Source organism: Homo sapiens, chromosome 5 (assembly GCF_000001405.40).
Source record: "Homo sapiens chromosome 5, GRCh38.p14 Primary Assembly".
In the NCBI taxonomy this organism is placed as follows: Eukaryota; Metazoa; Chordata; class Mammalia; order Primates; family Hominidae; genus Homo; species Homo sapiens.
The window spans coordinates 83327912-83341961 of record NC_000005.10 but is presented as its reverse complement, the minus strand read 5'-3'; the positions used below and the strand labels follow the sequence as shown (position 1 = coordinate 83341961).

The following is a 14050-nucleotide window of genomic DNA, read 5'->3' as shown; positions in this document are numbered from 1 at the left end:
ACGAAACTTCCCTCACTAGCCTAGAAGCCTCTCCAGTTGGGGGGACTCTGCTTTATTTGACTTGGAACAATATTTAGCACATAAAAGTTCCACTGATTGCATGTATTAACCAAATAACAAATAATTGAATATATGAGAGTGTATTAATAAGAAGGCTCAGTAAAGTTAAGCAATGTACCTGAAACCACACAGCCAGTAAGCATAGGTGAGCAGGCAGTCAAGTCGGTAATGGAGCCAGGATTTTAGCCTAGGTTAAAATCCAAAATCCATACCCTTTACACTAGGCCATTCTAATGGGAGTGGGGGGGTCATCACTAACTCTTACTTCTACTCCAGAGGATGTTTTTTTCTTCTGAGGAAGGCAGCTTGGTTGTGTGCAGTGTGTCTCAAAAGGTAGTTCTGTAAGATATTTTCTAAAAAAATCTATGGTCCCAAATGTTCAGAAAATCTTTATTTCCATCCACTAAGTTCTCTTAGTCTTTCATATACATATTATACACTAAAATTTCTGTTAATTGGGAAACCTGTTAATTAGGAAAAACAAAAGCAAAGTGTAGAACAGTGTGTACAGAAAACCAGAATATGTGTGTATATACATTATACCATATGTGCATGTATATATGTGTGTATGTGTGTGTATGTGCTCATGTGTCTACAATAGCTATGGGAGGATACACAGGTAAATGGTAACTGCTGAGAGGAATTTTAGCTGAGAGGGATACTTTTGCTGAATATTCTCTTAAACTGTTGTTGTTTTTTTTTTTTAAACCTTATACATACATTATATTTTTGTAAGTGCTTTAAGAAAAAAGAACCTTGTTTAACCTAGGTTTTCCAAATGAATCTGGTGGCAGAAGCCTCTTTTCTCACAATCTCTTCACCATTAACATCCCAAGAAACTAGTGTCTTCTGGAATAGGCTGTATTACCTTCTTCGCTGAGAAAACAACATCCATTAGTCTGAAACCATAAACTTAGTGGTCCAGTTAAGGAAAACAGAAATACACAAAAAAGAAAACAGAACTCTACTTTTAGCTATCAAGAGAAGTGGCAAACACATGGGTAGACAATAATACTAGCCATGGAGGTTAGTGATTTCTAAACTGGGACCAAGGGGGATAGTTTCACCATAGCGTGGGATGAGCTGTTTTTGTTTCCTATGGCTGATGCAACAAATTACCATAACATAATGCCTTAGAACAATGCCAATTTATCATCTTACAGTTCTGGAGGTCAGAAGTCTGACAGATCTCAGTGATCAAAAGTCAAGAAGTTGGCAGAGCTGTATACTTCTCTGGAGGCACTAGTGGAGAAGCTGTTTCTGTTTTGTTGTTTTTTTTTTTTAGCTTGTAGAGGCCACTCCCTTCCTGTCTTCAAAACTTCAAAGCCAGCAATGGCAGGCGGACTCCTTCTCACTGCACATCATTCTGATGTTGCTTGCTTAGTCTTATCTCTTCCTCTGACTTTCTTCTTCTGCCTCTCTTTTCTACTTAAGGACCTTTGTGATTATATTGGACCTAACTGGATAATCCAGGATAATTTCACTGTTTTTAAGGTCTGCTGATTTTCAACCTTATTTCCATCTGCAGCCTTAATTTCCCATTGCTACGTGGTCTAACATATTCTCAGGTTCCAGGAATTAAGACGTAGACATCTCTGGGGGAAGAGGGTGGGTGGTTTACTATTCTACCACTCTAGTCTTAACTTTGTTATTAGGGCCCAATTATTATTCCAATATGCTGAATTAAATAGATTTCAGGAAAACTGAATAGAGAAAGAAGTTGAGCAAGAGCAAGACATGTAAGGTCCAGAGTTAAAAGAAATCCCCCAAGCTGGTTGGAAGAGGGATCTGCAAGGTTAGTGTAATATTATCTATAGCTCAAAGAAACAGACATTGGGTCTTATCTAGAGATAACTGAACTAGAATCATTGAGACAGGCTCGCGACCACTATCATCTATCACTTCCCCATCCACTATTTATTGAGTGTCTATTGTGGGTCAGAGACTGAGCTAGACACATGGGATTTAAAGTGAGCAAACAATCAATCCAAGGCAGAAGTAATGCTGAACTTCTGAATTCCCTTAAATACAAACTTACGGTAGCCCTTGTCTAGGGGATAACAAAACAGAATGCTGTGTTTCACTACAATGGTTCTAAAGAGCAAGGCTGGTTGTTAAAGAACCATCATGGGAATGTGACCTGTGCTGTCAATCGCACAGGGCCACAAGCTTAGAAGGCCTTCATATTTGGTTTAATGCTCTGCTGAATATTTCTCTAGGCTTTACATGAAATGGTTGACTAAGGATAATTCTACAGCTTGAATTTTTTTTTTTTATTATACTTTAAGTTCTGGGTTACATGTGCAGAATGTGCGGGTTTGTTACATAGGTATACAGGTGCCATGGTGGTTTGCCGCACCCATCAACTAGTCATTTACATTAGGTGTTTCTCCTAATGCTATCCCTCCCCCACCCCACCCCCATCTCCTGACAGGCCCTGGTGTGTGATGTTCCCCTCCCTGCGTCCATGTGTTCCCATTGTTCAACTCCCACTTATGAGTGACAACATGTGGTGTTTGGTTTTCTCTTCTTGTGTTACTTTTGCAGCTTGAATTTTTAAAGAAGACTCATGTGTGAATGAAAAGTGGGTCTATAAAGCAAGACTATTCAAATTCTGGAAGGTGTTCTTTCTTAAAGATATTAAAAAGGGGTCAGCACTAGAAGAAGTCAGATGGAAATAATCTATAAAATTCTGTCACTTTTGATTTTGAATTAAAAATATTAAACTTTTAAATTGATGTTTTAAATATAACCAAACTGTAAAGTAAAACCAAAATGTTCAGAAAGGCAGAAGGCTTTTAAAACAGATCACCGTATTCCACAATTGGCAGCAATTTGCTGTGTAGATGAGGCAACACAAGCTGTGGGGACACAGTCTACGCTCAGAATTACTGGAGAAAGACCTATCCAGCCATTTTTTTGCCCTGGAAAAGTCTCTAATATGTATGGTATTATGATTTCAATAAAAAGTTATATGTCACTACTGAACTTTTATTTATCACACTAAAAATACGTGAAGTAATTTCAAATGCTATTTAAAAGTCAATCAAATCCATACAGAAAGCCGTTGACCACAGCTGTGTTATGTTCACTTAACTATATTAACTGAACACACTATATACATTTTCCCACTGTAAAATCTTTATGATTACACAAATTACTAATTTTTTCAGGACTTTACTCTGAACTGATGTTCATTTTGAGGAACAGAGTGCCTATAACACATGGTTCCATTAGTGCATTAACTGATACAATGTCTCATTTCTTTAAATGTCCTGCTATAATCAATGGCTTAATAGAAATACAAAAATGAGTTTAAAAAATAATAATTCTCCAAACTTCATAGTGGAGGAAGCTTTTAGATGTCATTCAGCAATATTAATACATTTAATAAAATTAATGTTTTATAAAGGCATTGATTTAATTTGCCAAAATGCAGGGTGGACTGTAGCCTTTGATTATTATGCCTTGACCATATGAATTCAATACATAATTAATTTACCAATTCAAACAACCATTGTTATCTAACTGATCTTATTTTGCTATTACAAGAAAGCTACATATCTCAGCCTCAATCATCTGTCATCCGAACTATGTATGTAACTATTATCTGTTCTCCTTGTCTTTCACTTCTTTCCCTTTTAGCCTAGCTTATAATTAGTTATCTTTCTACAAGGCAAATTGATTATTACTTTCTAGTCCTACAAGGCTACAGCTGAAATTTCCTTGGCATAACAAAAAAATTATTGTACAACTTCTAGCTTCTTGACTACCATTCTGGATCTAACCATCTATTGCTCTTTCCACACCAAACTTCTTGTCATTCACCAAACACACTCTTCTTTCTTAGCCTCCAGGCTATTCCACACAGCTTCCTCAGTTTTAGGACTCTTCTACCTTCTCTACTTAGTAGATGTCTTAGTAGTATCATCATTCAAAGCCAAGTTCTTATGTTATTGTTTCTGTGAAGCTTTCCACGACTCTTCCGGGAGAGAAGGTCATCATCTTGCCAAGTTGATATGTCATTGTTTCTGTGAAGCTTCCCATGACTCCTCCAGGAAAGAAGGTCCTTATCTCCTATTCACTCATAGTATATACTAAATCAAGTAAGTCTTTGTTCCAGTAATCACAGTTGTGTAATAAACCACTCCAAACTTAGTGGCATAAAATAAAGACCATTTTGTTATGCTTGTATTTTCTGTGAGTCTGCAATTTGTCCAGGACACAGCGTGGATGGCTTGTCTTTGCTCCAAGGTGTTAGTGTCTTAGCTGAGAACACTAGAAAGCTGGGGTGGAAACAAGGCTGAGAGCCATCCAAAAGCTCTTTCATTCATATCTGGTGGATGGGTTGGAAGGCCTCAAAGACTAGGGCTGCCCACTGGAGAGCGTACACTGGTGTGGCTTCCTTGCTACAGGGAAGTCTCAGGTAGTCTGACATATAACAACTTGGGGCTCTAAGCACAAAGTTGCCCTTTCTGATGTAGCCTCCAGAAATCACGCAGCATCACTTCTCCTGTATTCTACTATTTATAAATGAGTCAAAAAATCCCACACATATTGAAACTACCTCTCAATGGAAGGAGTGTCAACCAAAGACTTAATTGTGGACATCTTTGTTACTTATATTGTAAGTAACTTGAGAACAGGGACAATGATTTAGAATTGTTTCATTCAGAATTAAGAATAGTTCCTTATAATAAAGAACTGAGGTTCTGTTGAATAAATTTACCAAAAATCCTCTTGTCAAGGGTATTTGCCTTTTTTCTCTTAGAGTTGAGTGTGAAAAAAGCTATAGCAAGTTTCATATACAATTTACACAGAATAAAATCCATTCTAAATCAAAGGACAACATTATAAACTTTTTAGAAATGCTATCACTTAGAAAAAGATTTAAACCTTATTTTTGGCTCAGAAATGAAATTTTAATTTCTGACAACTATAGCTGGTCAGTAGTTGGCTCACTTTCCATTATGAGGTAACTTCAATTGTTTATTTTCAAGTAGTTTTGGATGTTTATAAATTTAAATGTTTACAAATTTACACTAACACCATTAACTTAGTTATATCCCACCCTACTGGAATGATTGGGAAGAGAAAGTTGTGGTTAAATGAATGGCGTTTCAAACCTAATGGCTAAAAGTCTCACTAACAAATGCTGGTCAACTTCTAAGCACACGTACACTCACAACCCAACTACTGGAAGACTAGTTAGTTGAGTTTTCTATTAACCTACGCTTCATTAAATTATTATTATTAAAGGTTTATGAATGTTAGTCAATTTAAATCTCTTATATCTGGCTATTGAGAAACAACAGGGCAAATAAGCAATCATACTTCTTTCTTGATAATTTAAGTAAGTGAAAGCTGAAATAAAGTCTTCAGCTCTAGACATCCTTTATTCTGAAATGTGACCCCATTATCAATAGGAAATTATTACCCTCAATCTCACAATCAATAACCAACCAAGAAAAAGAATCAGATTTCAAAAATCAGAAAGCATAAACAGAAATTAAAATGTTAAACCAAGAAATTCTAAAAGTTGTCTGGAATTAGGAAAGTTGTCATACATAAATTCACATGCAGCCCGAAAAGACAACCATGAAAACTGAACAGGCTATAAATATGCACAGAAAATATTTAGCTGAATTCAACAGTCTGATCGTTATTTCCCTTAAAATATACATAACTTCCAAAATTCCCTTCAAAATGTTATTGGGCTTCTACAGATGATAAAAACTTAAATCTTAATGTTTTAAATGGCTAAAGTATATTCTTTTATTGCCTTCTATAAAAATAGGCCAATTTGTCATATTGTAAGAGAAAAAGGATGTTCAATATTTCCTATTTTTATCACTGAACACTTTTCTGTAACAATGTAATTTGGAAGTGACTAAAAGGAACAATTAAAAAAAACTCATCTGTAAGAATATTAAGTGTTCAGAAGGCAGGAACCATGGTTGCTTATGTGTAGTTTTCCACATACAGGAGATTTGCAACTTAAGAAATGGTCTTTTTTTCTTTTAAAAAAAGCTTATTTTTAAACTTAAACTCAGGACAGATTTTTCAGAAATGTTATAAATAACAGATATTTTCAGACCATTCTATAAAGACTACTTAGTCTATGATATAGAAGAGCTATTAGAGGTAGCAATTATAAAAATTTAACTAATAGTCAACTCAATTGTAAAATCCTGTTTTTCATATATTCCTTACTTCAACCAATATTTTCTAAATGTCAGGCATTGTGCTAGCCTCTGAGATGAAAAGATAAACAACACTCCTGTCCTTGAAAATCTCACAATCTAGTTGATCAAAAATATATTAAACAATTAATTATAATATGCTACAGTGAAGAATGTATAAAGTACTGATTTATAGGATTAAAAATCCATTTCAAGTTCTAAATCTAATGACAGGAACACATCTTCTCTTACAGAAGGCTTTTTTGTATTTGTAGATATGTACAAAAAATTTCTCATGTTACACATAAAATACTATTAAATGTGTACTATGTGACAATTTCCCATAACTTGTAAAAAATACTTTGTTGTTAATAATTATAAGTAATTATTATTCTAACAATAATAATTGTTTTCCTGAGCAATTTTTATCTTAACGAAAATTGAGTTGATTGCTATATCAGGCCACCATATATTTAAGGAAAAAGTTTTATATTTTAATTTTATTTTATTACAATAATGATAGACCATTCTAATCCAAACAAACCCAATGCAAATATCTAAAACTTAGGTAGGGTGGGTTAACAGGCCAATTTCTGCATTTGAAGGTCCATTCTAGGTCTAAAATTCTATTGTATTTTCAGGACAGAGGAGAATAGCACAGCTTTTAGGTTTCACCCAAAGTCATAAATTTAAATTTTCTGTCTTCTCTCAACTCCTTAATTTATTTTGAGTGTTGAATCATAATCAAATAAATATTCTTTAGGTGAAACAGTTACTACTTAAAATAAATATTAGGTTAAAAACAAATAATGAATTTCCCTTATCATTTCTTAAGAAGAGTAAGATTTCAAACACCACAGAAATTCTAAATCCTATACAGATCCCAGTAACCACAAAAATTATTTATTTTTTGGTATATAAATCACTACATATGCATTGCAAAAACTTTAGAAAAGTCAGAAAAATAGAAAGGACAAAATAAAGATAATCATCTGTGCCTTCACTTGTTGATATTTTAGTGTCTATCTTATATATATATATATATGCACACACATACATATAATGTACGTATGTACATAATATTTTTAAAAGTAGTTGTATTATAAAAGAGTTTATACCATTTTTTCCCTTAATAATTTGTTGGTGAATATCTTCCTTTGTCAATAATTACAGGTCTACATAATAGTTTGATCATTTTCAATAACCTCATACTATTCCGTTACATTGAGGTACCTTAAAAATATAACTGATTATTTATTCACAGTCAAAAATCATAAACAAGGTAAATGCCCATATTGTAAACCACATTTCAATGAACATCCTTGAATATACTCTTTCTAGGTAATGTTCTTAAGGTAACTGGTCTGTTGAATTCTAATGGATAATAGTTAACTATAACACTACAGTTCCTGGAAGTTTTTATTCCTAGGAATGTTAGAGTAAGAAGTAGTTCTTACAACCAAGAGAGTAGCATATATGCTTTTTCACTACCTGGAAATTAAATTATTTTTAAATGAAAGTTCTATTTTGATATGATGTGATTTTTCCTATAGAAAGATTAAAGTACAACATAGATACAAAGACATTAATGGAAACAACTATCACAGTGGTTGTTCCTATAAATATAAACCTGGAAAGAAAAAAAAGGTTTAGGCTGGGCACCGTGGCTCATGCCTGTAATCCCAGCACTTTGGGAGGCTGAGGTGGGCAGATCACAAGGTCAGGAGTTCGAGACCAGCCTGGCCAATATGGTGAAACCCCGTCTCTACTAAAAATACAAAAATTAGCCAGGCGTGGTGGCGCACACCTGTAATCCCCGATACTTGGAAGGCTGAGGCAGGGGAATCGCTTGAACCTGGGAGGTGGAGGTTGCAGTGAGCTGAGATTGTGCCACTGCACTCCAGCCTTGGCGACAGAGCAAGACTCTATCTCCCAAAAAAAAAAAAAAAGGTTTAAATCTTGGAGGAATAGAGTATTTAGTAAAATATTTGCATATTACCAAAATAGAACGTGGTTATAAATTCTTTAGGTTTCTCTTTAGAGATCACTGTCCCCCTTCCTTGCCAGTGATAAAAAGTTTTGATACTATGCATGAGAAGTGGACCTCATAAATATTATACACTGAGTGTTATTTTTGTTAATTTCTCTTTGAGGAATTTAGAGGAGGTCACATGACCTATTACAGATGATAAGTGTTTTGTGTCTGCTTATGCAAGTGTATAGGACAAACTCTTTCTTACACATAAAATAAATGGTTATTATTAACTTGAAAATAAGGCAAACAGGAGTTTTTCATAGGATTCAGAGTCAGAGCCCACAATACTTACAAGTCTAGCATGCAGAAGATAAATAAAAGGACTAAGAAAGAAAAGTAACTCACACATTGAAAGTATTTTATTCATTATGGTATTGACATTTTAATTTGAGAATACATGACTATACTTTGATGTCACTCTGCCACACATGTAATTGAAGACTAACTTAAGACGGAAAAAGATGTCTTAAGAAGTGGACCTTGACTTTCTCTGTGCAAATAAGAGTTCCATTAGAAGTTTTAGATCTTCACACATAGCCCAGAGTTTCCCTCCAAGTATTTTTTTTTTCAAGTTCAATATTCAAAATTCTGTTGAAAGTCTATTCAAAATGGCTAATTTGTCCTAAGAGTAACAGCTGTCCACAAGTATTAAATGTTCTCCTTAGGCCAAATGCTGTGTTTAAGCTTGTTATGTATGTAATTGTCACAATAATATGTGTCTATTTTGCAGATGAGAAAGCAAACCCTTAGATATCGTACTGATTCACTGAGGTCTCATAACTTACTGGCCAAGGAAGGACTTGAACCCATGCCTGCCTGTCTCCTCCATGCTCTTCACCAATGGCCTCTCCTTCTTTTCCCTTCATTATTATGTGTCCAAATTCTATTTACCCTCGAAGGCTGAGCTAAAATGCTACTTCCCTCATGAAACATGCCTTGAAGTCTGCCACTTTAAAATCTCATATATCACACATCACTAGAGGATTATTCTAACATAAATAAATTTTTCTCAAAACAACAAAGTTTTAGGCGTTACCTGTCTAATGATAATGAGTGAAATAAGAAGCAAGTCCATGTACAGCATTTACCTCTTATAGTGCAAAAGGTGTTTACAGTCAGATTATAAACTCCATTTTTCCTGAAAGTCATTAACATCACCATCTTGATTGACAAATACTTAGCAAGCACTCAAAAGTGAATTATGCTTTTCTAGACACTGTCTGTATAATATTAAATTGACATGGACTGCCTTCTTTGAGCTTACAATCTAAAACAGATGCTATGCTATAAACAAACATAAAAAGAGATAAAGGTGCCTACATACATATGTCCAATGATTGAAAGACACTGCATGAAATATTTATATTACGTTCCAGACACAGTGCAAGTGGTCCATTTCTCTCTCTCTCTCTCTTTCTGTGTGTGTGTGTGTGTGTGTGTGTGTGTGTGTGTGTGTGTAGAAGATTGAAATGTTCATATTCAAGAAGAGTTTAAGCTTAGGATTTTTCAATTGTAAGTTCTGTCTTTATAAGAAGGCAACAGCTCACATCTGTGCAACTGGGACTTTATTAGAAGAATACAGATGTCAGTCACCACAGAATAACCACTGGACACATGTGAACCAGATGCTTCCATGTAAAATAACCCAGGGTGTTTCACAGATGAATCACTGAAAACGTAATTACACATCAGTCCCAGGTTTATTAGTAACAGGTTCACTCCACTTCTGTTGAAGTCATTTGGTACTATCCATCCTGAAGTAGTGGAAAATACAAAAACGGGTACTTGGAGATGTTCAGATATCAACTCTTCTGCTGCTGCTTTGCTCTATTATCCTTATGATGAAGCGATTATTTTATTTTTTCAGTCAATTATCTTTGTGACAGATATCTATTGCTGCTTCTTACTAGGAAAAGTTGTGCCAATAAAGTTTACATTCTATCACCTCCATTTCAAAGAATTTTATTTCAACAGGAAATAAAATGTTTAGTGACCACACAACTTTTATCTACCTAATCAATGACTGCAGGGTAAACATTCATTTATAGTACCTCAGAATGTGAGCTCGATATGAAATTTTTCTTTTGCTTATAGTTTAAATGTTTGCACTGACTCCATATACATAGATTTTCTCTTTGCATAGTATGAATTCCTGGGTCATACTATTTGTGAATGTTTAACATCTTTTACAAAATGGTGCCAAGTTGTTTTTCAAAGTGTCTGAACTAATTTCCACTCCCTTTAGCAGTGTGTAAGAGTTCCTGTTGATCAATTCCTCTCCAATACCATATATATGGATTCAATGCAAACAAAGTACATGAAAAAGCTGTCAGGAAGCATCTATGTTTTATAACACTGAATCTTAGAGCTCCAAGGGTCACTAGTCTGTGTTTATAAAGTTGTCTACCTTGTTACATAATCAATTTGCTTGTTTTCTTCATGTGTTGGAGCACCATCTGATAAATAGAAATGGAACTCTATACTTAAGAGCAAAGACTTTTTGGAGTAGTTTTTCTGCTTCAGAGAGACTCTTTAAAACAAACAAAAAAATCAGCACAACAGAATCTACTTCTATTGAGAACTTTGGTTAAACTACACCAGGAGGGCACACAGCATCAGAGATGACTAGAGTATTGCATCTACCTATTCCTGCTGTATTTTAATGATGAGGTAGGTAGGGATGGTTTTAAATAGTCTCAAATAACCAGGGCCCCTGGGATATAATACCAAGAAATATTTTAATTTTTCAGTCCCAGGGTTTTCTTGTGTTTACTGTTTGCCTATGTTAGTCAAAAAAATGTCCTGACAGATAGATCTTGCTATGTCTTCCCCTTTCTCTCCAGCCTTAAAATGTTTTCTTACCAGCATTAAAAGGGAAAACCCAAAACTGCTATCTTAAATTGCTCCTCAATGATTTCAATTACTCAAAAATATTTTATGTAATATTTGATACATATAGTTATAATAGACATAATATGTAATATACATGTTATAGGGCATAATAGTATATTAAACTCCTGCAAAGCTACCACCTAAGAACCCAAAATTACCAATGTAGTTATATCCAATCTGCTCCCCCTGCCTCTCCACATAAGTATAACCCTCTCTTATACTGTGCATTAATCATTCTCTTGCCTTAAAAAGAAAAGTTTTATTACATGTATACATATACCTAACTAAATAATAGCTTGTATAAATGCTGCTTTATTTTTGAGCTTTATAAAAATGGAATCACTGTAGCTAGTGTTCTTCTTATACTCACCATTAAGAAACTATGATTCATCTATAAATATTTTTAATTTTCAATGTTGTGTAATACTATCTTGTATAATTATATAGTTTATTTTATTTTGCAAAAATAATGCTGCTATGAATGTTTTAATATGAATTTTTGGAGCATATGTACTAGATTTTCTCTTTGCATAGTATGAATTCCTGGGTCATACTGTTTTCCACTTCCTTTAGTAGTGTATAAGAGTTCCTGTGGATCAATTCCTCTTCAATACCTCATATTGCCAGAACTTTAAATATTTGCCAAAATGATTAAAATTATATCTTTTTGTAGAATTAAAAAATTCCCTTTTATGTTGAAAGAAGTTATGGGAAGAGTATTATTTGAAAATAAGTTGCTAATATGATGCCCGTGTTACTTCTGAATAGTTTTGTTATCTGGTGACCATAAATGTCCTTCTAAACATTCTCCTACTTAAGCACAATACAACCGTCAAAACAGAAAATTAACATCGATACATTGCTGCCATCTAATTTTCAACCTCCATTCAGTTTCCACTAATGTCCTTTACCTCAAAATGTCCCAAATCACACAATACTTTAGCAGTTACATCACTTTAGGCTTCTTCCTTAGTTCCTCAGTCATTTCTTGAGGTACTTCTGATGATAATTGGCCAGTTAATTTAATGGAATGTACTTAATTTGAGTTTGTTTGAGATTTCCTCATGCTTTGATTAAAGTTGTGCACCTTTGGTAGGACTATTACAGAAGTGCTGCTGTGTTCCTATTGCATTTGATCAAGGTGGTGTATGGTTTCAATTTGTACCATTACTGATGATGTTGATTTTGATCACAAGGTTACCATGCTTTTCTACTGAAAAGTTTCTCTTGTACCCTTTAAAATTAATAAGTGTTTTATGGAGAAGTAATGATGTCGGCCATATTTTTATATGTTTCAAAACTATTTGTGCTTTTCCTTTTGGGATTGTCTGATTAAGTCTCTGGCCCATTTTACTATTGTTTTCTTGGCTTTTATTTAATCGACTTAGAGAATACAAATTCTTTGTCAGCTATATGGGTTACAAATATTTTCTCTCACTGCATGGGTTGTCATTTTCTTTATAATGTTCTTTGATGTACCAACACTTCTTATTTTAATGTGGTCAAATTTATACATTTTTCTTTTGTGGGGTTGCACTCTTTCAGCCTTATTTAAGAATATGTTCTCTTAAGACGTTAAAAATATTCTCCTGTGTTTTCTTCCAAAAGTGTTAAACTATTGCCTTTTATATTCACATTTTAAATTCATTTGAAATTTGTTTTCATGTAGGTGTGAGGAGGGGATCAAATTTCATTATTTTTTAAATAAAAAATCAACTTGCTGGGTGCAGTGGCACATGTCTGCAGTCCCAGCTAATAAGGAGGCTTAAGTGGGAGAATTGCTTGAGGCTAGGAGTTGTTGGAGTCCAGTCTGGGCAACATAATGAGACCCTACCTCTGAAAGAAAAATTTAAAAAATTAAAAATAAAAAACTCAATTGTCATAATATTTTTTATTATATAGTTGATTCCTTCTCTAGTGAATTTTATTGTTACTTTTGCCATATGCCAAATTTGTATATATGCATGAGTATCTTGCTCCATTCTTTCCTTTATCTGTTGTCTATCCCAGTGCTAATATCTTGCTTTACTATTATTCCTATATAATAAGTCATGATTCTGGTAGATAAAGTTTCCCCACTTTATTCTTCTTCAGAATTGCTTTGGTTATTCTTAGCCTTTTGTTCTTCTATGTAAATTTCAGAAACAGCTTGCCAAAATCTTGTTAGAATTTTGATGACAAATAAGTGAAACTACAAATAATGGAGAAAGAATAAAAATCTTTAAGATACTGAATATTCCTGTCCTTTAAATTTTACAATTTGCTCCATCTTTTTATTATTTAATCCTTGTATATTTTGAAAGTATTTTCTAACTCTGATGCTGATGTATAGAAATGCAGTAATTTTTGCATTTTTGTCATGTATCAAGCCACTTTGCTAAATATTCTTATTAATTCAAAGTATTTACCTATAGATTCTTTTGAATTTTCTATGTAGTCAATAATATGCACTATGAATATTGATATGGTTTGGCTGTGTCCCCATCCAAATCTCAACTTGAATTGTATCTCCCTGAATTCCCACGTGTTGTGGGAGGGACCCAGGGAGAGGTAATTGAATCATGGGGGCCAGTCTTTCCCATGCTATTCTCCTGATAGTTAATAAGTCTCACAAGATCTGATGGGTTTATCAGGGGTTTCCGCTTTTGCTTCTTCCTCATTTTCTCTTGCTGCTGCCATGTAAGAAGTGCCTTTTGCCTCCCGCCATGATTCTGAGGCCTCCCAGCCATGTGGACCTGTAAGTCCAATTAAACCTCTTTTTCTTCCCAATCTCAGGCATGTCTTTATCAGCAGCATGAAAACGGACTAATAGAAATATTGAAAAGTTTCTTTCTTTTCAAGACTTATATATTTTATTTCTTTTTGTGCTATGCATGCACTG

The 14050-nt window shown here is 34.1% G+C and overlaps 1 protein-coding gene across 8 annotated transcripts in view, besides 2 other annotated features; it reads right to left on the bottom strand.

Annotated features, from left to right (window-relative positions):
• Positions 1 to 14050, bottom strand: part of XRCC4 (X-ray repair cross complementing 4) — a 296927-nt gene that overhangs the window by 32512 nt on the left and 250365 nt on the right. The window lies entirely within an intron of this gene.
• Positions 1282 to 1331: an enhancer, noted in NCBI's record as "active region_22742". NCBI's record gives its function as "activates an Ori minimal core promoter by ATAC-STARR-seq in GM12878 lymphoblastoid cells {active_cell/tissue: GM12878}" and the evidence as "EXISTENCE:reporter gene assay evidence [ECO:0000049][PMID:35858748]".
• Positions 4005 to 4205: a silencer, noted in NCBI's record as "peak5319 fragment used in MPRA reporter construct". NCBI's record gives its function as "represses an SCP1 promoter by STARR-seq MPRAs in K562 erythroleukemia cells {active_cell/tissue: K562}" and the evidence as "EXISTENCE:reporter gene assay evidence [ECO:0000049][PMID:32103011]".